At 49.5% G+C, this 26,106-nt stretch overlaps 1 protein-coding gene across 1 annotated transcript in view, besides 2 other annotated features; it reads right to left on the reverse strand.

The window, feature by feature from the left end:
* Positions 1-26,106, reverse strand: part of ANKS6 (ankyrin repeat and sterile alpha motif domain containing 6) — a 64,547-nt gene that overhangs the window by 37,084 nt on the left and 1,357 nt on the right. The window contains exons 2-10 of the mRNA NM_173551.5: positions 21,012-21,514; positions 15,740-15,784; positions 14,861-15,065; positions 13,375-13,481; positions 11,097-11,245; positions 9,134-9,332; positions 8,313-8,362; positions 4,785-4,988; positions 1,804-1,954 (exon numbers count right to left, since the gene is read on the reverse strand). Coding sequence (NP_775822.3) covers positions 1,804-1,954; positions 4,785-4,988; positions 8,313-8,362; positions 9,134-9,332; positions 11,097-11,245; positions 13,375-13,481; positions 14,861-15,065; positions 15,740-15,784; positions 21,012-21,514 — 1,613 coding nt within the window. The remainder of the gene's footprint in view (positions 1-1,803; positions 1,955-4,784; positions 4,989-8,312; positions 8,363-9,133; positions 9,333-11,096; positions 11,246-13,374; positions 13,482-14,860; positions 15,066-15,739; positions 15,785-21,011; positions 21,515-26,106) is intronic.
* Positions 1,735-2,029: a silencer, noted in NCBI's record as "tiled region #9654; K562 Repressive non-DNase unmatched - State 15:Elon". NCBI's record gives its function as "represses a minimal TATA promoter and a strong SV40 promoter by Sharpr-MPRA in K562 cells {active_cell/tissue: K562}" and the evidence as "EXISTENCE:reporter gene assay evidence [ECO:0000049][PMID:27701403]".
* Positions 22,302-22,351: a silencer, noted in NCBI's record as "silent region_20120". NCBI's record gives its function as "represses an Ori minimal core promoter by ATAC-STARR-seq in GM12878 lymphoblastoid cells {active_cell/tissue: GM12878}" and the evidence as "EXISTENCE:reporter gene assay evidence [ECO:0000049][PMID:35858748]".

Genomic DNA, 26,106 nt, shown 5'->3' on the forward strand with positions numbered 1-26,106 from the left:
CTCCAGCCTGGCAACAGTGAGACTCTGTCTCAAAGAAAAAAAAAAAAAAAGAAAGAAAGAAAGAAAAGAAAACAGTGATAATACCCAGGGCTGGGGGGTGCTCAAGAGGGACACTAATGACTAACATTTATAGAGGATTTACTATGTGCCAGGCGCTGCTGTAAGTATTTCACATGTTTAAACAGAGCCATTCTGGAGGGCAAAACATATCAAAAACCTCAAAAATAGGCATACTCACAAACTCAGCCACCCTGATTCCAGCAAATTTAAATAAATGAAATCACTGAACATACAGGTGAATATGGAGGCATGAAGGTATTACGTAGGGAGGTATTACCTATAAAAAGCAAAAATCTAGGAACAGCCTCAGTGTTCAACACAGGGAATTGGTTAAATGAACTGTGATGCCTCATACAAATGGAATACTGTTTGATTATTAAACAAGGTGCTGTAGATATATATGTATCAACATAAAAAGGTGCTCACAATCTAGCAATGTGAGGAAAAAGAAAAAAGCAAGTTACAGAGCAGTTTATAGTTTAGAAAGGCACGTGGTTCCAAGAACAGGCTCTGAAGTGAGACTGCCTGGGTTTGGATCCTGGCTCTGCCAACTAATAGCTATTTGACCCCGGACGAGTTATCTAACTGTCCTTAGCCCCAATCCCTCATCTGTAAAACAGAGGTGGTAACTTCACTGCCTGCTGGGGCACTGAAGGAGATAATTCATTCGAAGGGCTTGGCACGCTACTTGACAAATATTAAGTGCTCCATAAATTATTGTGCCTTTTTATAAATATTCATAATCTATAGAAAAACACTTTCCAAATATATATATGAAAATGGTAATGATGATCTGTAGTGGGTGAGATTATACTTTGTTTTAGTCTCTTGGCTCATCTGGTCTTAAAGCTTTTTCCACTAGAAGCAGGGTGGCTGATATGGTTTGGCTGTGTCCCCACCCAAATCTCATCTTGAATTTCCCACAATTCCCGCATCATGGGAGGGACCTGATGGAGGTAATTGAATCATGGGGGCGGGTCTCTCCTGTGCTGTTCCCATGATAGTGAATAACTCTCATGAGATCTGATGGTTTTATAATGAGGAGTTTCCCTGCACAAGCTCTCTCTTGCCCTGTGCCACGTAAGATGTGCCTTTCAGCTTCTGCATGATTGTGAGGCCTCCTCAGCCTGTGGAATTGTGAGTCCATTAAACCTCTTTTTCTTTAGAAGTTACCCAGTCTCGGGTATGTCTTTATTAGCAGCGTGAGAACAGACTAATACAGTGGCCTTCCTGCAAAGCTGGTTTTGGTTAATCCTGGATGACCTTAGGGAGGACTAGAAAGTATGCTGCAAGCCCATAATAACTTTGGGGCACTCTGCTTTGAGATCTAATTGCCACCAACTTGCTGTGTGACCCTAAGCAAATCTCTTGCCCATTGTGAACTTCGGTTTCATCTGCTCAATGAAGGGGCAGAATGAGAAGCTCTCCAGGGTCTAACCTTCAGAGATTTTAAACACCATGAAAACATCATGCACTTCCCTTAATCTCTTGTAAAATTTTACAAGAAAAAAAAAAGCATTCTGGACTTTATCTTCCTCCATCTCCATCCATCTGCATCCCCAAGAAAATGTGTAAAACTCTGAATTGGGAATTCACTGAAAAATCTCTTAGCCACATTAAGGAGAAAGTGCCTCTTGCGTGGTCATTTCTGCGACTGTCTGCAACCTGAATATCCAGGCAGTGCACACCCTCAGTCCCAAGGGATCACCCCACCTCCCTGAGTGGCCCTGCCCAGCTACTCACCTGAGCGGTTAAGCAGCTCCCCACCGTGCCGGCTCACACCTACCCCACTGGAGCCGCCCGATGAATGAGGCGAGTGGTTGAAGTTTCCAGAATTGGCAGAAGAGGCTGGGCTTCTGGGGAGGCTTGGAAATTTAACAGGCCTGACGGGTGTCTACAAGAATAAGGCAGGTGCAGCACTTAGGGAGGCTGCTCCTCCCTCCAGCCGTGCAGGATCACAGTGTGGGGGTTCCTGTGCTCAGCTGGTGCATACCCCACCAAAGCTCGCTGTGCCCAGCATGGCCCTGCCAGGGCCCAGCTGGGGAGTCCCTGAGGGATGGAGCTTGCTTCTATGTGCTGACAACTTGCCCATTAGCTCAGTGAATCCATGTCACATCATTTCCCATGGGCCACCTTGCTTTCAGTCTCATTCAACTCCAGGGCCTTCCAGGAAAAAACCTGACCATGTTATTCACTGACAACCCACGGAGGCCTCAGCACATCCAGGACAAAATCCAGCCCCCTCAGCACCGCCGGGCACAGTGACCAGCACCCCAGCTCCAAGCCTGCTTCCGTGATGCTGCCTCTGTTGGTCCCTCAGCCTGAAATGGATCTTCTCCTCCCCACATCCTTTATGGTGTCTTTCCTGGCCCCATTGTCCCTGGTGCCAGTGCTCCTGGTCACGTCCTCTCCACCCTGACCTCACTCCACCCTCTGCTTCGCTTGCTCTGCTCCAGGCACACCAACCTCCTTTGGGTTTCCTGCTGATCTTTTTTGTGCCTTGGGGCCTTTGCCCAGGCAGTCTGTTCTACATGGACCCGGCGGCTCCCCCCCATCCTTACCCCACTCCTCCCACAGCGGCTCCTCCCGGTCCTTGGCTCTCAGGTCTCGGAGGCCTTCACTGCCTAAGCGGTATAATATGGGCTCTGGTCTAGGGTGGGCTCCCGTGTAGGGCAGGCTCCTCAACACACGGCTGTGATCCCTTCCAGCACCCTCTTCGCTTACACTGTAACTCTTACCATGGCTTGTGAGTGTACATTTACTGCGGTTGCCTGTGTGTATGATGCCCCAGTGGACTGCCAGCTCCATGGGGACTTGGTTCTCTGCTATATGCCTAGTACCCAGCTCTGGCCTCGGCACAAAGAAGGCACTCAGTAGATGTGATTAAAGGTTGCAGTGGGCTGAATTGCAGCCGCCAAAAAGATACACAGTGTCCTAATTCCCAGAACCTTTGACTGTTACCTTATGAGGCATGAGAATGAGGATGAGCTTATATGTGCTTACCTAAGATGTGCCCAAGTCAAGGATTTTGAGAGGAGGAGCTTATCCTGGATTATCCAGGTGGGCTCTAAATGCAATCACATGTATCTTTATAAGAGAAAAGGCAGAGGGAATTTTGACAAATGAGGAAGCAATGTGACCACGGAGGCCGAGACTGGAGTGATGCAGCCACAAGCCAAGCGAAGCCTAGAATCAAGAGAAGCTGTCAGAGGAAAGAAAGGATCTCCCCGGAGCCTCCCGAGGGAGCAGGGCCCTGCTGACACCTTGATTTCAGACTTTCTGCCTGCAGGACTGTGAGAGAATACATTTCTGTTGTTTTAAGCCATGCAGTTTGTGGTGACTTGTTACAGCAGCCATAGGACACCAAAACGAAGGTCCTCTTGTTGGTCCTCTACTGTGGGCACTCCTAAGGGAGAGACAGTGACAGATCCCAGGGCCCTGGCCCCCCACTGTGGGCACTCCTAAGGGAGGGACAGTGACACGATCCCCAGGGCCCAGAATGAGGCCCCTCTGCTGAGTAAGCGAAACAGAACACACTTGCAAAGGCCATAGCTCACGTTCTCTCTCCCTCTACCTGGGACGCTGCTGCCTGCACTCCACTGGGGAGAAAACTCTTCCACAGCCTGCAAATCCCAGCTCAGCTGTCGCCTCTTCCTGGAGGCCTCCCGAGTGCCCTACCACACACGGTCACCTCTCTGGCGCTCCCACACTCCTAACACTGCTCCCTGCCTCATGTTCTGTGCCTGTGTCTTTGCCACCCAGACCACCACCTCTTCTAGGGCAGAATGGGGCTGACTGGGCTACATGGCAGTGGGATTCAGTTAATGTTCACTGAGCAAATGAAGCAAGTCAAGTTGATGTTCTGTCCCTCTAGGGTTAAATTCTCAAGGAAACACAGCCATAGAAGAAGTCTCAGGGATGGGTTCTACAACTCCCCCGTTCCTACCTGATCGAGAATAGTGGACTAAATGCAAACCTGTCCTGCCTGTTTTGAGAGCATCTCCAGGCGCCAGGCTCTTGGTCTCCTGCAGGTGATCTCATACTATCATAGCCCTAGGAGGCAGCAGTGAGTGCTGGGGTCAGCCCCATCGTATAGAGATAGAGGCCACACGTTTCTCCAATCACCCAGCACATGGCGACAGGGTCAGTCCTGAATCCCTTCGTCTTGCCCATTTGCTGCATCTACCATCTAGATACAGGTTACACACAGATACCTTCCACACTGATGAGACTGTCAATTTCAGAAACAGACCAAGAGCCACCAAGTTAGAAATCACTACAGTCAAAAGGATAGAAGTCATACTCTTGGGCACAAGAAAACACCAGTAGCACACAGAGTTGCCGCTGAGTGTTTGCTCTTGATTATGGTTCACTCACACTTGGCTGGTGATCTTCAGCTATTACTCCCACTCCCTGGGTCCCAGTTTCCTCATCTACTAAAAGGAAGGTTGGATTAGATGGATCAGGTCTTCAAACTGTGCTCCTTGGAGATCTAGGGTTCCAGTGAGGGGACAGATGTTCCCTGCTACCTCAACATTTTAATCTATTTTCCATACTGAGTTGCTCTGTAGGGCTTCATTAGACAAAAGGATATCATCCATTCAAAAGAAAAAAAAAGTTGCAACCCCTCTGGATTCGTCGGTTTGAGGTCCCGCTGCCTGGAACACACCATGATCTCAGTGAGCAGTGAGTGATGTGTAAAAGTGTGTCAGAAGACAACTTACAGTGTCTGTGCCCCCGCCGCCCACGGGGTGGCCCCTGCTGGCTCTCTGGGGCAGCGCAGTCTTCATGGGGTCTGCCTTCCCGTTGTGACGCGTCCGGGACCGATCAGAGCTCCACAGCTCAAAACTGGAAGGGGGTAGGAATGGGGGGATGACTGCTTTCAGCTTGTCACTCGGGAGTCTGGTGAGGGGAGCTCCGTTTCGAAGCTGAAAAAGACAGGCTGAGGGTTAGACAAGCCCCCAGGAGGGCTCCCAACTCTGCAGGAAAGACTCCATGTTTTTCCTGCTTCTTGGGGCATGGCACCACCATCCACCCCTCCACCCAAGCCGGGAGCTATGTGGCATCTACAGCTCTCCTCCCAGTAACCGCACAACACCCATGTCTGCTCTGCGCCAACACCAGGCTTCTTCTGGATCTCTCCTCACAGCAGCAAGATCAGAATGGGGCAGAGGAGACAGAGCGCCAAGGAGAAGCAGATGATGTTGGTGTGCTGTGGGGGAGGCAGGGGAACTGGGAGAACACAGAGGAGGGGTGCCCCTGCTGCACAGTGAAGGCACCTTTGTGGGAACCGAGCTGAGAACGACAGTTTAAGCTGGGCCAGTGAGGACCAGGAGGTGCATTCCAGACTGAGTGAGGGGCCAGAATATGGAAAGGCCTGGAACCTAGAGGAGCAGGACATGGGTGCAGTGCTGCAAGGAGACCAGCATGAGCAGCCATTGGGAGTGAAGAAGGAAGCAGGAGGTGATAAGGGCTAGGGCTCAGCACCACTCTCTTCCCCAGCCCCCCACATCCCAGCTTGCTCCAGCCACGCCTCCTGCTGCTGACATTTAATTGTAATTTAATTTTTAATTTTGAAAATGTGATTTGGGGGTCAGTATAAAATCTACACAGTAATGACTGTTAGATCTTCAAGGAAGTGTTCACAGACCAAGCTCACCTTAATTAAGAAAAATAGTGAACTTTGTGCCAGATGGAGCTTTGCAGCAACGGGCATCCCACAGCTAAACTCGCCTCGGGAGCCGAGCAGGCGGGCATCTCCACACTGATGGCTGCACATGCCCATCAGCAGGGCAGCCGGGCCACCCCACCCATTATGGGGGGGCAGGCACACTGGCGCCCTCTACAGGGCATGAGCAGTTGGGGAAGTAGTACACCTCCGGGGTTCCCAGGCTGGCTCTGTCCTGCTTTTCTGAGTCTCTAAACAAGTGCTGTCCCCTCTTTCCCTCTAGACCACAACAAGCTCATCCAGCAAACGGGGTTGAGTTGGAAACTCACAGCGACAAATCCACCACCACAAAAGGGTATTTTCCCTCCCTGGGGTAACAGTCTAAATTGTTGCTATCTTTCTGGAAGCCAATGACATTCACAACCTTTGACCCAGGAATTCCATTTCTAGGTATTCATCCTGAGCAAATAATCAGGCAAGTGGGGGAAACGAAGGTATAAGGACATTCATCTGAGCTGTTAAAATAACAAAAAACTAGAAATCCCAGAGTCTGACAGTTCAGTCTTGGATAAAGAGACACGTTCCTACACTAGAATGTTCTAATGTAGCCATTAAATATGATGTGGCTACATGGTGTTTTATGACATGGAAAAGATGGTCACAACACATAAATCACAAATAAATTGGATTCAACACAATATGGGAAAGATACTAACAGTGCCAACCTCAGGAATATTAAATGAGCTGATACATGCAAAGTGCGATGAATAGTAGCTGGTACTTAGTAAAAGCTATGGTATTTGCTATTATTATATACAACATCATATCATATTTATACATGCTAAAAAACTGCTTACAAAAAATACTCAAAAGACATATCCATAAAAATGCCAACCATGGTTATAGTTGGGTGTGTGATCAGGGATGAATTTATTTTCCTTCTATATGTTTTACTGCTTCTTCCAAAATTTCTAAAATAGCATTTCTGTCTTCACACCAAAAATAATTATTGCTATTTAATAACATGATCAAACGTCAGGCAGCACAAGCCCCCACAGTCAGTGTTCGAGCCATCAATTTACACCTGTTGGGGTGGCAGGGAGCCGTGGGCAGATTGGGTCAGGACCCCTCGCTGGGCTCTAAAGTTCCTGACACTGCTGATGCCTTTTCTGGGAGCCCCCTCTGCTCCCTTGTCCTCAGCAATACTGCCCTCTGCTGGCTAGTATTAGGGTCTTAGCGCTAAAGGGACTCAAGTCCAACTTTAACCACTAAGCTCTCATGTCAGAGGAAACAAACGTGAAACCCAGAGAGGGGAGGTAACACATCCAAGTTCACACCACGGAGCTTATTCTGGGCCAGACACTATGCTAAGAACTTCCTGGGAGTGATCTTGTTTAAAAACCATAACCATGAGGGATCCCCGAAGTCAGAGACTGCAAACTGTCCCCCAGTATCTACTTTTCACATCTTAGAAATGACACCCCTAATGTTCATTTAGATGGGCACAGGACCACTTGGAACAAAGACTTCATTTCCCAGCTTCCCCACTGTGATTTAAGCAGAGTAGTTGCCAAAAACCCTTTTTTTTTTTTTTTTTAAAGACAGAATCTTGCTCTGTTGCCCAGGCTGGAGAGCAATGGCACGAGCTTGGTTCACTGCAACCTCCACCTCCCGGGTTCAAGCAATTCTCCTGCCTCAGCCTCCCGAGTATCTGGTATTACAGGCGCCCACCACCATGCCCAGCTAATTTTTGTATTTTTAGTAGAGATGAGGTTTCACCATGTTGGCCAGGCTGGTCTCAAACTCCTGACCTCACGTGATTCACCTGCCTCCGCCTCCCAAAGTGCTGGGATTACAGGCATGAGCTACTGTGCGTGGCCCCAAGAAACTTCCTTAAAGACAGCTGGCATGTGCCCATGGCTACCTCTTCTCCCCTCCTCTCTCCTGCTGGCTGGAATGAGGCCGTCATGGGCCAGAGCTCTGGCAGCCATCTTGAACCAAGAGGTGACCTGAGAAACAGAAACTACACATGGGGGACCAACAGGCAGAAAGGACTCAAGTCCCTAACTCCAATGAGCCATATACTAGTTCTGGACTTTGTTTACTTGAATGAAGTAGGCTGCTGTCTTATTTACACCATTGTTACTTGGGGATTTTCCGTTACTCACAGTTGACCCTAATCCTAATACATCTCTAAGTTACAGATGAGGAAACTGAGGCCTCCCCAGCTGGAAACATAGCCTCCTCTTTGACTCCTCTCACCCTGGTTCTCCACAGCCCAAATGGTGAGTCTTCATTTCTCATGCTGCCCATCAATTCCTACCCTCAATCCCCTGCCTCCATGAGAACAGGGCCAGGGCTGACACCCAGCGGGTGAGCACCAGCACAGCCCTCTCCACAGTTTAGAGCTGGCATCTGTTCTGACTCCTCAGTGCCAGAGCTAAGCCCACTGTTACACATTCTCATCACCAACCCTATCTGTGACCACTACAAAGACAGACAAACACCTACATCCCTCCTTGTAAATCAATCAACTGATGATTGCCGGAGACCTAAAATGCTTTTAGAAAAGCCCCACACTCACCATGGTTGTCAATAACGTGTCTTCCTTTTCTCCTCTTGTGCTCCCAGGACCTGAGAGACAAATGGAAATTTCCTGAAATGACCCCTCCACGTGTCCACAGCATAAGGATGAGTGACTGGGGCAGGCTTCAACCTGGAAAACCAACTCTCCTGGGTGCTTAAATATTTAATAATAATTGGTATTCGATATTTTAATAGAAGGAAGGCATTTAAAAGGTATATTGGAGCATGTTTTCAGCTTTTCCATAAACCACTGCCGTACTGAGTCAGACAGTGGTGCCCCCAGCTCAATAGTCTGTCTCAGACAGTGGTGCCAAAGTAGCTAATCTGGTCATGGGGAATCTGACTGTTAGAAGGGATCTTATCTATGTTCCAGTCAGTATGGGAATCTCCTTCAGCAAACTGACAAAGTTATCCAAGCTGTTGAATACCTTGAGTGACGGGGAGCTCACTACTCACACCCTCCCAGTAACTCATTTTATTTCAAGATGCTTTCAGTGTCATAGACCAATCACATTTCAGAGGTGGGGAAAACCACCTATCAAAGGCAAGAGAGAGGACGACTCCCTGTCGTCCCTCAGCAGGGAGTGTGGGACAGGAACCTGGGCCTCTTGCCACTGGCCAGCACCTTCTCATTCTATCACACTCTTGGTGGTTGTGTCCCTGCCTAAGTATCTTTTCCACCAGACCAGCCTCTATGCTCCAGTGTCCCATTCCAACATCATCTTACCCCTGACAGCAACCCAGGAGGTAGGATGAAGGGCAGAGGGTACAGGCTCAGACCATTCCAAAAATTCTACTGCACATGCAGACTTTTCTCACCATTGTCTTTGGTCACAGGGGCCGCATCAGGGAGTGCAGAGCGGCTTGTCTTGTCCTGGGGGGCAGCCCTCATTGTGGAGTCCAGAGCTGGCTCAGGCTCGTCAGAGAAAGGCAAAGGCTGGTTGCTGGACAGCCCACGGGGCAGCGTCTGCATCAGTTTGAGCTTTCGGAACCGATTGGACATTCGGTTCCACCAGGACTGCCAAAGGAACGCAGAGCAGAAGTCATGCTCCAGGAAGGGCAAGGAGACCAGGCCCAGGACCTGCCAGCCCAGAGACAGTGACTACATTCACATGTGCCTGCCCTCCCCTCTCCTGGGGCCCAGACAGACATTACTGATCAATGATAGCACCCATTCCCAATAAGCCATGGTTACTCACTAAATCTTTCCTGACCCAGCCCTTAGGCAGTCACTTCCAATAGCCTGGAGGTGGCAGTGAACCCTATTTGCCACCCCTCATCTAATCAATCTCCTCATTGCACAGATTGAGAAATGGAGACCCAGACAGGATTGCTGACTTGCTTGAGGTCTTACAGTGAGACAGGGACAGATGGACACAGAGGCAGCTCCAGATTCCTAAGCGTCTACAATAGCATAATCTCCCTCCTCCTGCTCTGGTGATAACGTGAGAGGCATCAGGATCTCTATACCAGGGCCTGGGCCAGCTGCTCCTATAGCTGAGCCTCACCTAGAGAGGACAGGCACTACCTCCTGGGAACGCTTGTAACCCATGACCACTCAGAGGTTAATGAACAGCCACGAAGGGCATCTGTGAGGGCCTGCCTGTGGAAATGGCAGTAAGAGCAGGAATGAAGGGAGCTATGAGAACAACACAGTCAGGAAGGATGCAGAGCTTGAGCCAGCAATGGACACAAAAGGAGCGCCGAGTCTGCAGCCCTCAGAAGGCGCTACCACCCCATGCAGACTGGGGAGGTCAGCAGACAAGACCAGTGTGTTGTTTTGTTTTCTCAGGCATAAAGTAAGTTTGATTTCAAACAAGTAGAGCAGGATGTGGAAGATGAGAAATCCAAAGAGAAAGTCTCAGCTTGCAGTTACAAGCAGCCACCAGAGCTTGTTTCTGGTGTTTCCAGGAAGCTGGCAGGGCCTGTGGACTGCAGGGAGACCCCAGAGTGGCATGATCAGCAAATATCCTGCACAGTAAAGCAGAGGCTGCAAACGGATTCCTTGGGAAGAGAAGTGTTTGCTTTGGCCAGCTCAGTACTACATCATGCAGAATTTTCTAAAATTCCCTGTACTTATAAATTAAGATTCCATATCAAAATCTGGATTTCTATTTTTTCCTTTAAAAAAAAAAGAGAGAGAGATCTAGTAATATGGACCCACATTCCTTTTTGAGACAAGTTCTTGTTCTGTCGCCCAGGCTGGAGTGCAGTGACGTGATCTCAGCTCACTGCAACCACAGCCTACCAGGCTCAAGCTTTTTTCTTTTTTTTTGAGACGGAGTTTCGCTCTGTCGCCCAGGCTGGAGTGCAGTGGCGCGATCTCGACTCACTGCAAGCTCCGCCTCCCGGGTTCACGCCATTCTCCTGCCTCAGCCTCCCGTGTAGCTGGGACTACAGGCGTGCGCCACCATGCCCGGCTAATTTTTGTATTTTTAGTAGAGACGGGGTTTCACCGTGTTAGCCAGGATGGTCTCAATCTCCTGACCTCGTGATCCGCCCGTCTTGGCCTCTCAAAGTGCTGGGATTACAGGCGTGAGCCACCGTGCCCGGCCGCGTGGACCCACATTCTTACAAAGCAGCCACTGTTGCCACAACATGGTCACAGTCTCCCCAGTTTTTCCTGGTCCCCTTTGTTTCCTATTGCTCAATGCCAGCTCACCTGCCACCCCTGCAGGGACTCCCTAGCATAAACCAGCCTGGGTGCATAGGAGGCAGCAGGCTCCCCGCCAGCCCCCATCTCCCTAGCCCCCAAGCCCCTTTAAGACAGGAAAAGGCAAACCTTCAGTCCACCCTTGTCATCGGGCAGCACTGGGATGCTCCAGGGCTGTCGGACCTTCGAGTGGGGCAGGGGAGGCTGGTGGCTCGGCCGGCCTTTGTCTTTATTCACCTGCATGCAGACAGATGCCAGCAGTCGAACAAGTTCCGTGTCTATGGACACAAAAGGCATCATTTTACCTGCAAATATGTCTGTTGGGCCATAAGGAGAAGACTCAAGATGACCCCTGTTAGACTTAGAACTCAGCCCTGCAGCTCCAGGGTCTGTGTAATTCCAGAATCAAGGCACCTGCCTCTCCATCTGATCTTCAAAAGGTGGCAAACAAAGCCAGCAGGGCTTAACCTACTTAACCAGAAAGAAAAACCGGAAGTCCTCTCTCATGAGGAAGGCAGGGGGACAGTGTGTTTAAAAGTGCAGGCTTCACAGCCAGGCTGCAGAGGTTCAGATTCTGCTTCTGTCCCTCCCTGGCTGTGTAACTGCAGGTAAATTACAAAGCCTCTTTGTGCGTCTGTACAAGTCAGTGACATTAATACCCACCACATAAAGGTATCTTATCAATTCACGGGAATTCCTTTAGAGCAATACAAGTGCTTTAAAAATACTAAGTATTATGAAGTTATTAGGAACCCAACTCAGTTATATAAAAAAAGCATTGCAAAAAAGATTGAGAAGAAACTACTCCAAACTATTAACAATGCTTTTTCTTGATGACTATTTCTTTTTTTTTTTTTTTGGAGACAGAGTCTTGCTCTGTCACCCAGGCTGGAGTGCAGTGGCACAATCTTGGCTCACCGCAACCTCCACCTCCTAGGTTCAAGCGGTTCTTTGCCTCAGCCTCCCATGTAGCTGGGGCTACAGTGCCCGCCATCATGCCTGGCTAATTTTTGTATTTTTAGTAGAGATGGGGTTTCGTCATGTTGGCCAGGCTGGTCTCGAACCCCTGGCCTCAAGTGATCGACCCACCTCAGCCTCCCAAAGTGCTGGGATTATGGGCGTGAGCCATCCACGCCAGGTTATTTCTTTTTTCTCTCCAAGTATTCAATAATAGGCATGAGTTTCTTCAAAAGTTTTGTGTAAACACTTCATTTAAAAACCCAGTAGGCAAAATATTCCTAGGAATAGACTGTTTTATTGGGAAAGGGAATAAACGGCAGTGGAGGCTAGGGAGAAGAGGAACACTGAAAAGATGAGTTTCTCAGAAAAAGTGTGTATGAGATCCAGCGAGAGTGGCTGCGGACTGATTCCGAATAACAAACTCTTGGCAAGTGAAGAAGGTCTCCAATGAGGTGGAGTAGGATCACTGGACTTGGGGCACAGGACTCCAACCCTCTGGCTGGGACAGATCACTTCCCGAGTCTTGGCGACCTCATCTCTTCAAGAGGATGTGAACCTCTGCTTCCCCTCTCAGACCTCTTTGAGGGTCAAACAGAACCAAGTGTGCATCTGTGAAGTGCAGGGGCCTGCAGCAGGGAAGGGGTGGCAAGGGTGGCAGTGCTGTGACGAGGAAGGGCATGCCTGCTGGCTACCCCTCTAGCTAAGAGGGGCAGCAGGTGACTTGTGACTGCAGAGGTGAAAGTCTTCTCTCCCCACAGCCAACAGCTAGAATCCCAGCACAGGGTTCAAGCCCAGTGGGTCAGAAGGGCCTCGGGGCTTCTCTCTCTCTGGGTTGAAACTCCAGGTTGATAAGAAAGACGACAGATCAGAGACCTTTCCCCTTGAGCTGGCTAACTGGAAGCCCAGGTCCCAAAAGAGGGTCTGTCACAGCAGGGGAGGGTCAAAGGGGAGTAGCAGGTACCAGCCGAGGCCAAAATGGGGTGGAACTAACGGCTACATTCCCAGTACACGACCCTTGACCCTGCAGCCTCTACCTACACAATTAAGCTGAGAAGGCCATCGCTCTATCTCCCATTCTGCTTATCAAAGGGGACTTTATGTTTCCACCTGAGTGACTCAGGATTTCTGGCTGTGAAGCACAGATGCCATTCTAGGGTGTGTGTGGACTGCAAAGTCAGACACGTCTTATTTTCCTTCCCTCTCTAGAGACTCCTAGGAGGTTGGTGCTGGAGGAAGTCCCCGGGGCCACCTGGTCCAAGTCCAGCGCTTCACTGGGGAGGGAAGGAACTTGCCTAAGATCATGCAGTAAGCTCCTGACACTTGAGAGTGACTTTCCCCCACGAATAAGCAAGTGCTTAAAACACAAGTCACAGAGGAGGTGCCTGTCTTGACTCCCAGTCCAAGAAACGCTGGGTAGATTTACAACCCTTTTCTTGAAATTACCTACCGGGATCATTCAGCAGCATCACCAGGTCAAAGGCCGTGTATCCATTTTTTGCACGAAGAGTGACATCGGCCCCTTGGTTTAGCAGATATTTCACAATTTCCTTATTCCTGGGAAAAAATGCTAGAGTTACATTCACTGAAAGCAAAGGCATGGCTTTGCTCCTGGGCAACAAAACCAACATTAACTACAAAGCTCAGTCTCTGAGCATTTAAGAAGGACATGGAAGGGCAAACAGTCTCACATTCTCTCATTCCCTAGCACGTGGGCAGGTCAAGCGGGAACATGATTTAAATCAAAGTCTAAGTGTTCCTTCCAGGAACAAAATGAAGACTGAGGCTAGATGTGGTGGCTCACACCCGTAATCCCATCACTTTGGGAAGCCAAGGTGGGAGGATCACTTGAGCCCAGGAATTTGAGACCAGCCTGGGCAACATGGGGGGCCCTGTCTCTACTAAAAATTTTGTTTAAAAATTAGCTAGGTGTGGTGGTGCAAGTCTGTAGTTCCAGCTACTTGAGAGACTGAGGTTGGAGGATGCTTGAGTCTGGGAGGTCAAGGCAGCAGTGAGCCATGATCACGCTACTGCACTCCAGTCTGGCAACAAAGTGAGATACTGTTGGAAAGAAAAGAAAAGAAAAGAGAAGGGAAGGAAAAGGAAGGGGAGGGGAGGGGAGGGGGAGGGGAGAGGAGACAAAACCAACAGCTCTGCCCAAAAATCACTGACCCCATGGAGACTCCACTTCTTCCACCCTAAATCAGGACATCTCCATTGGGAAAGTCTCCTACAGACCAAGGTGTCTGAAATAAAATTTCGTCTTGGAATTCAAGACTCATCGAATAAGAAAACAAACTGTTTTCAGATGACACAGGAAAGTGATCTGATCACCTAAAAGAGGGCAAGGAAAGAACCTCTAACTGGGAGTCAGATCACTTAGCAGCTACAAGATGCCCACCCCAAAGACGAGGCCTCCAGGAGGATGACAGCCCATCCTGCTGGGATGATCACATAAGAAGGGGTTCATAAGCACCCTGTAAACACTGAAGCCTATTCAAAAGGAGAGGGGTAGGACACATCTCACCATCAATCATCACAAGACGACAATGGTATGAATAACCAATGTTTACTTCATACAGGAGCTACTTAAGGAGGTCACTATATCTCAATGTGAAAACTCCAATGAATCAGTCACTGTGTTCAACTGAAACCAACCTAGAGAACCTTATCTCTCTGCATAAAATGCTCCTGCTGCATGGTTTTTCAGGGCCATTGTGAAATTCTGTGATGGGGGAACAGGAAATCTGGACACAGAAGGGTGGGACTAAAATGAGCCTGTGCCGCTTTTTTTTTTTTTTTCCATGCCTCAATGTCGTCATAGTCCTGGGGTTTGTATGCAGCATCTCAGGACCAGAAGAGCCCATTGGGAACCTCCATCTCAGGCCAGAGCATCTGTCTGGCCTTGTCGCTGAGGGCGTGGGGCTGGCACTGACCCATGGTAGGTTGCCTGCATGAGGGCCGTCCAGCCATGCACGCTGTCCTGCTTGTCAACATCCGCGTGCCTCTCCACCAGCAGCTGCACCAGAGCCAGCTGCCCCGTAACAGCTGCTAGCATCAGTGGCGTCGCCCCGTCCCCATTGACCAAGTTCACGTGGCTGGGGTCTTCATCGGCAATCTCTTTGACCAGCTGGAAGTTTCCTGCAAACACAAGCAGGAGTCCGGGTGAACTGTGGGCCTGGTACCATAGGCTGATTTCTCCTGTGGTTCATGTAACAAACACTTGCTGGCCCTGCTCTGCCTCTGCAGTGGGCTGCTGGGCATCATAGGGGATACTAAGAGGGCGTCAGAGATAGCCCCGACTCTTAAATGCCTCAGTCTAGGCGAGACAGAGACAAACACACGAATGGGCAGAAGTGTTACCAAAAGACAGAAGTGTTGTTAGTGTCTTCAGAGAACGGATGAAGGAGACAGAAGAAGACAGAAGGAGAGTTCAGGTCTCGCTGCGGGGTGAGGATCGGGAAGGGCTTCCTGGAAGCAGGGTCTATATCAAGAGAGAAAATTTTAGGCTAAATGCCTCTTTGTCACAAAGAGACTGGAGTGGGTATGCAGAGAGGCATTTCAGATGCAGGAAGAGCTAGGGCATAGCTAGACAGTGTTTGGCTGGAGTGGGGCTGGAGGCCGTCTGGAGTCTATGTGTAGAGCTCTACAATAAATACTGGCCTCCAGGATCTGAACTTCCAAACACCAAACACCAAAATGCCTGTTTCTTTCTCAAATACCCTGGGTGGCCCTGCAAAGGACTACAAATATTAGGTTGGGAGAATGTAGCCCTATATTCTTAAATATCCAAAAAGATTTTCTAAAGCGCTTACCCATTTTCAATGCATGGAAAATATCAGGTCGCCTTTTCTCCTCATCTGGGTAAACAAAGATTTTTAAAGTTAACCACGGAAAGGTTTAATATAACAGAAAAGTCACAAGGGTGTAACAACACAGCCTGGCTTTAAAAAGCATCTAATTCTCAAAAGCAATCTAATTGGAGACCTACGTAATGGACAAATCCAGCAGCTCTTCTGGAAGGTTTATTACCCAAGAACATCTGAAAACACTTCAGAGACAGATCTTGCCAACAAAACACGAATGAGCAGCAGATCACGGCCCTGATCTCATGCAAATAAAGCAATCATTTTTAGGCAAAACAAACGTTGGCATATCCTTTCTTAGATATACTGAAAAGTCTTGGGGTCTTAGAAAATCCTGGATTCCCATGGACATTGTTTAAAAATTTTTTTTCTTCTAAAAACTAAATGTACAATCATAATTCCAAATCAGAGGACCCCTGAGATATCGAGCAGCTGAGCTCTAAGGAAGTTCACAGCCACAGCCAACAGAAGAGCCAATGCTCATATTTTCTTTCCCTCCCATGTAAGAAGCAATCAGAACATGCTCCCTCCTCCAAACCTGCAGACACAGCTGGCCAAAAGCCGCTGCCCAACTGGGCATCTTCATGCTGTACCCTGAAGCCCAGCTGCTAGGCTGGGGCCGGACCCCATGCCTACCTGCACAGCTGAGCCTTGCTGCAGCCGCCAGATGTTAGCCCCTCCCTCACATGCTCATCCCACACCTTCCTCCAAGCTTGGGCCAGCAGGTACCCCATTCCTGTCAGAGCAGGCATCCTCATGGCCAGTCTGCTTGCTGGGGGGCTGAAGGCAGGCCTTCTGCAGCCTTTAATTGATCCCAGGGGATGGAGCAGCTGCCAGAGGGCACTTGTGACTCTGGGCTGACTCTGGTCGAAATGAGCCCTCTTGAGTAACTGGGAGGAAGCTGCAGCCCAGGACAAGGAGCACAGAGTGTGGAGTCAGTGCACGTGAATTTCAGCGCACATTTTTAGAGTAAGCTGCCTCTTCATCACAAATGTGGGGATAGCATCCCTCTCACCTGGCTGTTGCAGGGATCAAATGATAATGTTAAGGCGCCATTCAAAGAGCAATTACTTTCTTTAGCAACCAGCAAGGTAAACCCCAGAATTCTTTTTTTGAGATGGAGTCTCGCTCTGTCACCCAGGCTGGAGTGCAGTGGCGTGATCTTGGCTCACTGCAACCTCTGCCTCCTGGGTTCAAGTGACTCTTGTGCCTCAGCCTCCCGAGTAGCTGGGATGACAGGCACACGCCACTACACCCAGCTAATTTTTGTATTTTTAGTAGAGACGGGGTTTTGCCATGTTGGCCAGGCTGGTCTCAAACTCCTGACCTCAAGTGATCTGCTCGCCTTGGCCTCCCAAACTGCTGAGATTGCAGGTGTGAGCCACCGCTCCAGGCCGGAACTCCAGAATTGTTTTTTTTTTTTTTTTGAGATGGAGTCTTGCTGTGTCTCCCAGGCTAGAGGGCAGTGGTGAGATCTAGGCTCACTGCAACCTCTGCCTCCCGGGTTCAAGCGATTCTCCTGCCTCTGCTTCCAGAACAGCTGGGATTACAGGCACCCACCACCGCATCTGGCTAATTTTTGTATTTTTAGTAGAGATGGGGTTTCACCATCTTGGCCAGGTTGGTCTCGAACTCCTGACCTCGTGATTCACCCACCTCCGCCTCCCAAAGTGCTGGGATTACAGGCGTGAGCCACCACACCTGGCCAGAATCCCAGAATTCTTCATGGAAAGTACGGACACTGCCATGGGACACAGTATATCAATTTTGCCTGTGAAATACTATCAAGAAACTATTCTGCACCTGACTTTTAAAAAAAATATGTCATGTTCTTTCAAGTATTCAAGAACCAACTTTGCTGTGGGGTGGGGTCTTCTCATGCCAAGACCTTTTCACAGAAAAGAGTGTCACCTGGTCTTAGTGTTGGCTGCTAAGCAACCATCTGACACAAGTTAATCACTGACAGCAGAGCCTGGCCCCAAGAGGCAGGGGCAGCTGTGTCCTGACACCCAGTGACTCTGGGCAGGTCCCTTCCTCGCTTTGGGCTTCAGTTTTTTTCGTCTATATCCAAGCAGTCCCAGGGACCCTGCCCCAACCCAAGGAAAAGAAATCAGCTCCAACTCCACACCACAACCTCAGTGGGGAGTCAGAGGTGTCGCAATGACAGTTACAGCATCAAAAGTACCCTGTCCTGCTGCTAATGAAAGGCAGAGACCAGGGGACCTCCAAGGCCTTGGTGGGGGCTGGATTTCCGGGAACTGCACAGTAAGAGCTGGGGCTCCTATTATTTATTTCATAATCTGTCATTATCAATAGCACAGCCTGCACCCTACCTGGGGCTCTTCCCAGGGATCCCCCAGGGCCAACACACTCCCTCAGGTCCTGCATGTCTGCTGCAGTCCCACCTTCTCAAGGTTGCCCAACCACTCCATTTGACACAGCAGGATGAATTGTCCCAGCTTTGCCACACCCAACCTCTTTACACTGCCCTTTTTTTTTTTTTTTTAACCCTGTGGCACTTACCACCTATCCTACTATATATTTAATATGCTTATTTCCTACTGACTGCCTGTCTCCCCTTATCAAGGCCAAGGTCCTCAAGGTCAGGGATTTGGATCTCATTTGTTCACTGATGTATCCAAAGTGCCTAGAAAGGTGCCTGATACATAGCAGGCCTCAGTACGTCTTTGTAAAGTATCGGAATGAATGTATCATCAATCAAAACATAATAGTTTCCATTTATTGGATGTCGTCTATGTGCCAGGGCACTGCGATGAAAATTTTACAGGCCTGATCTTACTATTCCTCACAAAAATCTCCCAAGAAAAGAGCCTTTATTATGACTATCTTATGAAAAAAGACACTGTAGTCCTGCAGGGCCAATTAAGATGACCAAGACCACCCAGGTACAGAGTGGGAGAACTGAGCCTCAGACTAGTTCTGCTCAATGGGAACATGACCAGATCCTGCTGGAAGACCCGAGGTTCGCTCCTGTCAAATAACGCCGACAACACTATGGAGTAATCCACTTCCCATGTGCTCCCTCTGGGCCAGGCAGGATCTCACATGAACCCCACAGCAGCCCTGAGGCGGGTATCACTCCAGCACCCATTTGTGGAGAAGGAAATGGGAGCTTGGTGAACTGAGGCAGCTGGTTCAAGGTCCCTTGGCCAGCAGGGGCACAGCCAGCATCGAACCAAGTGGACAGTGACCTTGGCCACATCCACCAATGTGTCTGAGCCACTGCATCTTGGGGAAATGAGGGCATCGCCATCCCATGATGCCAGGACAACCCCTAAAATGAGGCCTGTCAGAAGCTAAGCCCGAGGGCACTCCGTGAAGATTCAAGATGCAGAGGCTAAGGAAACCTGGGATGGAGAACGCATGCACAACAGAAGAGGCACAGCTCGGCAGGCACGGGCAGGTGCAAGTTCTGGAGTGTTCACTTCTGAGCCTGAATTCCCTCCCCTGCAAAATGGGGGAATACCCTCCTCAGAGGGTCCCTGCGAGGGTGAGGGGAGATTCAGCATGGCAGGTGTGCTGGGCACGGCAGGGCCTGGGAAGGGCAGATCCTTTCCCCATCCCTGCCACAAACAACCCAAACCTTTAAAGGAGAGCAATGGCCTTGTGTCAAAAACAAAAACAAAACAAAACCCTGTCCTAGGAGACTGGGGCCCTAATTTCTAATAGCAAGCCTTTATGAGTCCCTAACACTCTACTGGGCTGAGTATCTCACACGCCAGAGGATAACCTGCCTTCTGCTCACCACCACCCCGTAGTAGTTGTCATTGTGTCCATTTCACAGATGAGGCAAAGGCTCAGAAGAGTCATGTGTTAAACCAGCTTCTAGAGCCCATGCAGGAGCTGCAGGTGGGAGAATCACCTCTAGGTGCTCTTCCCATGGAATCCTCACCTCCTGAGTGTCACTCACTCAGCTTCCAATGGGTGTGTGACCTTTGACCAGCTTTCTTCCCTCTCTGGGCCTCAGTTTCCCACCTGGACAAAGTAAGAGGTCTCTTGGCTTCAGGTAGTTCTTCCTAAACTTCTTTTTCCTTTTCATTTGAGCATCCTCTTCATTTTTGCCACCTCTCTGTCATTACAGGCTTTTAAAACATGTTTATTTCAGACTTGTTCTGATTGGATGGTGTATTTCTTTTTTTTTTTTTTTGGAGAGTGTATTTCTAATAAGCATTTACCAAATTTTCAGCATCTCTTGATTGATGGGGCTATTCTATATTCTTTCAATGGTAACAAACTTAACACTTTCAGGTCTTTTTAGCCAATGTGCCTGAAGCTACTTTCTTCAGTGCTTGACCTCTCAGAGCTAGATGTTTATATACACTGCAGCCCACCTACTGTTACTCCCTGGCTGTGAGTCCTGCCGTCGAAGTCAGGCCTTTTACATAGACAGAGGGTACCAAGGCTGTGTGTTGCGATCTTATTGCAAACCGTGCATTAAAGGTTTTGAAACGTGGTATGTCCTATGGCAGATTTGCTAAGGATTGTTTAGACAACTCTTTACATGCCAGAGAGATGGCAAGAAGTTAAAAAAAAAAAAAAAAAAAAGATGCACTGCTAGATGTTTTTTAAAAAACTAATTTTCATCAATTTTACATGAACTAGTGTTTGAGAAATGATCAGGGCAGAGGAGGTCAGGCACACTATTGTAGAACAAGGGCTGGCAAACTATAGCCCATGGCTCAAATATATCCCACTGCTTGTTTTTGTAGTTATAATTTATTGGAACCTAGCCATACCTGACTCATTTACATATTATATGCATAGCCACACCCATTCATTTACTCATTACATATGTAAGGCTGCTTTCACTCTAGCAGAAGTGACTACTGTAGTTTTAACAGAGACTGTATGGTCCATACAGTCTATTTGGCCTTTTACAGAAAAAGTTTGCCAAACCTTGTTGTAGAAGGGCCCCAGAACCACCTGCATCAGAATGATGTGCTTGGGGAGAGCAGCCTTGTTATAGAGGCTTCCAGGCTCTTGCCCAGGGCTACCAAATCACTCTGCAGAGAGTGGGCCCAGAACCTGCATGTCACAGGCAATCCCCCCGATACTTAAGCACACCACTTCCTCAGTCTCAGTGGTCTGCAGGGCTGGACTCTGAGTTCTGCGTGTCCTTCCAGTAGAGCAATCCTCAGCTTAAGCCACATAAACACAATTTGGGGTCCTCTGTGAAGCCACGGGGGGCATGCAGCCTGACCTGTTTTGGGCCTGACGGTGGTCAGCGGGTCCAGGTAGTCTACAAGGTCCCTGTGCTTGCAGTCCAGTGCAACCTCGAAGGCGGTCTTCTCCAGCACGCTGAGGTGGTCAGGGTTGGCGCCCTTCTCCACCAGCTGCTGGGCCACTCCAAGCCGCCCAGTGAGTGCGGCCAGCATCAGCGGGCTCCAGCCCACGGTCCGGGCTGCGTGGTTGGGGTCCGCGCCCCACTCCATCAGTAGACGCACCACGGCCTCGTGCCCGTGCTGGATGGCAGCCATCAGGGCTGTGATGTCCAAGGGCTCATCCCTGCTGCCGCCCAACCCCAGTTGCTCGCCTGAAGGGTGGTGATGGTCCACAAAGGCACCGGCTTCCAGGAGCAGCTTCACCACACCCAGGTGGCCGCCCCGAGAAGCCACAGTGAGCACACTGGCCCCCAGCCGGTTCTGGGCATTGACATCAGCCCCGTGATCCAACAGGAGGTGTGCCACACTCACATGCCCAAATCTGCCAGGAAGATGGAGAATTAGTGACACTGAACACACAGCACTCGGGGGCCAGCTTATGTCATCCTTAATTGGCATGAATTATTAGTCCTGACAGCTGCTCATGATAAGAGGTCTTATTCTGGCGCCAGGCACTGTGCCAGCCACATGGATGCAGATGCATCATCATGAAGGTGAGCAGCTGCCCTGCCTGGGTTCAAATCCAGCTCTCCCCACCACCAGCTGCATGACCTTTAGGAAGAACTTTGATTTCTTTGTGCCTTCATTTCCTGATCTGCAAAATGGGGATATAACTGTACCTACTTCAAGGGTTGTTGGGGATTAAATGAGTTACATGTAAAGCACCTGGCTCTGTGCCTGGCCACAGGAAACATCACATCAATGTTAGCGATTGTTAGGTATTATAATTGTTCATGTTACGTTATTCAACGTGCCAAGGGTTACCCGGCTGGTAAGGGGTGGCATCAGGGTCAGGACAGGTCTGTGTGAATGCCGCTGCCCTTGCTTTTTCTCTTACACCATGCTGCCTCCTACATTTCAGACAGTCGATTTTATTCTGCTTTATAGCCTGGGAATCTGTCTCTCTGCCTGTGCTCTAATTTCCCCACAGGCAGAGCCCATGTCTGATTCATTTCTACCCTCCCCATCCCCAAAAGCACACACCCCATGCCAAGAGGTGTGGCAAGGTTGTGGTCAGCAGATAGGCTGGGCATTGCGGCCTGGAGGCCTGCTGCCACCTGCTGGCAGGAATGTTTGTTGCAGGCGGCTGAGGACCCAGCCTAGGCCAGATCTTCCTCAATGAAGTCACTGCTGGGCCCCTGAAGAGAAAGATCTGCACCCACCAACTTCCTAGTACCAGGAGAAGGAAAACAGGTACCTCTTCCCAGCAAAATCTCTTCCTTCTTTTAACACCAGAGGGCAGAAAAGTTCTGTTTTGTGGTGTCTCTGGTGGGCTCGGAGCTGTGTATCTCCAAGCTGGAAGCGGCCCTGGACTAACAAGAAAACAATGACAAGACAGGGGCTGTCTACTCCAGGTTTTCGAGACCACAAAGCCACTGTCATGTCTGCATCTGTGAGGCAGCTTTCTGGGTTTCTCGATGCTCAGCCCTCCTTCCCGGGAGCCAGTTTTGCACCTCATCTAAACCCAAGACCTCCCTCCTCCTGGCGGCTGGCGGCCAGGCCAGGGCTGAACTCTGTCTGAGGCTCCGGCTGAATACCTTCTGGGATGTGAACCTGAACAGCATGGGGCTACTCAGCCACGAAGCAAGAGCCTGGTGACACAGCTCCATCAGCTGCAGGGGGCTGGGCCTCTTGACCTCCACTCCCAGAGTGGAAAAGGACAAGGCAAATTGAAACCAACTCAATGCAGAAAGCTGCACCCCAATGTCTCCCCGCCTCCAGTCTCGTTCCCTCCTGCCCATCCTCCATGCGACTCCCAAATGATATTCTCCAAACCCAAATCTGTCACTCCCCAGCTTCTGATTGCCGAAGACCTGACTGCTTTGCCAACCTCACTTCCTCCTGCTCCCAAACCACACCTTCCCGCCTTCCCCACACCTTCACCATCCTGACCCCACCAGAGGACTCTCCTGTCCTCATCTACTCAGCACACCCCCACCGTGTCCTGCTTCAGGAGTCATATCTCACCCACTCTGAGCAGCTTCCAGACCACCCCTCAACCAGGCTAGGTCAGTGCCCCTCTTCTGAGCACCTAATTCCACGGGCTCGCCTCTGGCTGCACGTGAGCCCTCTTTCCCTAATTGTCTCTCCTATTCAGTGGCAGGCTCTCCAAGGACAGGACAGGGTTCCACGCATATTGTTTCCCCAGCCCCTACCATAGTGGCTGATCCACATCGGAGCTCAGTAAATTTGGTCAAACAAGCCAAGTAAATGAATGCATAAATGGCATAACCACATAGGGGAAGGTCCAGAGGTGAGCAGTGGAAATCCCTGAAGAACTGGTGTATCCTCCACTGTAGTACATTTCTAAAAGATTACACTATTTAGTTATCAAGCATGAGATAAAATCTAGCATAATCCCTAACAGCAGATTACAAGGTGCGTCACATTTTTATCTCATTTGATCTTAATAAACCCCGAGATAAACTCACAGATTAGGAAACTGAAGATTACAGTGGAAAGCAATTAATCTAAAGCCTCTCAATTTGAACGTGATAGAGTCAAAAGTTGCACCTGGACTCAAAATCGAAGCTCCAGTATAACCAATTTTTAAGGAGGAAGAAAAGGGGTGAATTAGAGCAGAAATAGTGAAATTTGGAATGTTTTCTGAATTAGTGAGTAGCCCAAGAGAGCACTCAACTATGCTGAAAATATAAAAGGATCCAAGCAAGGCTGAGATAATGTTGTGGATGCTAAGTTTCTAATAGGTAACTGCCGGAGATGGGCATGCTAGGGGCTTTCTGAACAGGTGCTGTGATTACTGATGAATTTCAGCAATTAACACCTGTGTTTAAAGAGCTGGCACACATTTTCCCCTCTCAAAGCACTGGGCTGAGAGTCCAGCTCTGCCCCACTGGCAGGCAGGAAATGAAGGGTAGGGAAGGAAGGTAAACACTATGCAACCCTGTCCCTTGGAGAGAAGTCTCTGGCAAATTTGGCAAGCCGCTTCCAGGCACCAACACCAAGAGGGAAACTATCAGTTACAGGATTCATGGCTGGGAGCACAGGCTCTGGAGCCACCTCCCTAGGTGTGAATCTGACTCGCCACTTGGTAGCTATGTTACTTGAGCAAGTTATTTAACTTCTCTGTTCCTCAATTCCTCATTTATGAAATGAGGATGACAATAGTACCTCCTTCCTAAGGTTTTGTATGGATTGAATGACTTAATTCATTTAAAGCACTTAGCACAGTGCTTGACAGAAAGTCAGTGCTCAATAAAGGTTGTTTTTTGTTTTGTTTTGTTCTGGTTTTTTGAGATGGAGTCTCGCTCTGTCGCCAGGCTGGAGTGCAGTGGCGCGATCTCAGCTTACTGCAACCTCCGCCTCCCAGGTTCAAGCGATTCTCCTGCCTCAGCCTCCCGAGTAGCTGGGACTACAGGTGCGTGCCACCATGCCCGTGCCACCACGCCCAGCTAATTTTTGTATTTTTAGTAGAGACAGGGTTTCACTATGTTGGCCAGGCTGGTCTCGATCTCCTGACCTCCTGATCTGCCCGCCTCGGCCTCCCAAAGTGCTGGGATTACAGGCGTGAGCCACCGCACCTGGCCAAAGGTTACCTATTATTTTAAGAACATGAAAAAACATGCCCCAGCGCGGTGGCTCACGCCTGTAATCGCAGCACTTTGGGAGGCCGAGGTGGGCGTTTCACGAAATCAGGAGATTGAGACCAGCCTGGCCAACACAGTGAAACCCGGTCTCTACTAAAAATACAAAAAGTAGCTGGGCGTGGTGGCACGTGACTGTAATCCCAGCTACTCCGGAGGCTGAGACAGGAGAATCGCTTGAACCCAGGAGGCGGAGGTTGCAGTGAGTCGAGATCACGCCACTGCACTCCAGCCTGGTGACAGAGCGAGACTCCGTCTCAAAAAAAAAAAAAAAAAGAACAGGAAAAAACACTAAGGTCACCATTTCTAATACTAAAACACCCACAAAAGACCAAAGGCACAGGGTGTCTAATAGTCTGGCCTGATCCACACAGAGAGCTGGGACGATAAATAGATGCTTGCTCAGACCCAGCGTGGTGGCTGCCAGGGGTGTGGTTTTGAGCAGGATTCTGGGGGCGTATCCAGATCCAAGGAAGAAGAGCACAAGGCTGGAAGGTGTCAGCACACAGGCCATTCATTTGCCTACCCCGATGTGAGGGACAGACACACTGTACATCCTTCTGGAAGTCTTCCATATATACTACTCCTCAACTTGACCTTTTCTTATGAATTACGCAGCAGAAAGCTGGAGCACAACTCAACACAGGCAGAGATGCTACCTGAATATAGAGTCGGTGTCACACCAACTGAGGAACAGCACATTTTAAAATACCCAGGCTCAAGACTATCCTGCAGAACTTGGTTAAAACTGATGATCTGGGGTCTCTGAGACACTCTGAGGCATGTCAGTGCTGTAGTCACAAACCTCACTCAGTAAATTCCTCAGGGGGCTCACCAGGGCCCCTGTGCACGCACTTGGTGGATTGCAGAGATGAGACACACATAACACATCAGTGGCTCCCAAACCTACCATACAAGAGAATCACTGGGGAGCCTCTTCTCACACAGAGTCCCTGTCTCTTACTCCCCTCACTGCCCTGGGCCTTCTAAATCACAATCTCCAGAAAAGGAACTCAGGAATCTGCACTTAGACAAGCATCCTGGTGATTCTGATGTGTGGCCAGGTTTGGGTACTGAGGAAGCCAGTCAGCATTAACATGGTGTGATGGATGCTACCACAGAGGCCTTTCTGCTGCGGAGGGACCAGAGAACAGGGAGATATCATGGCAGGCTTCACAGAAGCCAGATCTCTAGATGCCATCCTTGCTGTCTCTCTTAACCCCTCCCCAAGGGCCAGTCGTCAACTCCTGCTGATCTACTCCCTGAATATATCACAAATTCATCTGGGTGCCCTCCCTCCGCTGTCTCC

This window comes from Homo sapiens, chromosome 9 (genome assembly GCF_000001405.40).
Source record: "Homo sapiens chromosome 9, GRCh38.p14 Primary Assembly".
Lineage (NCBI taxonomy): Eukaryota > Metazoa > Chordata > Mammalia > Primates > Hominidae > Homo > Homo sapiens.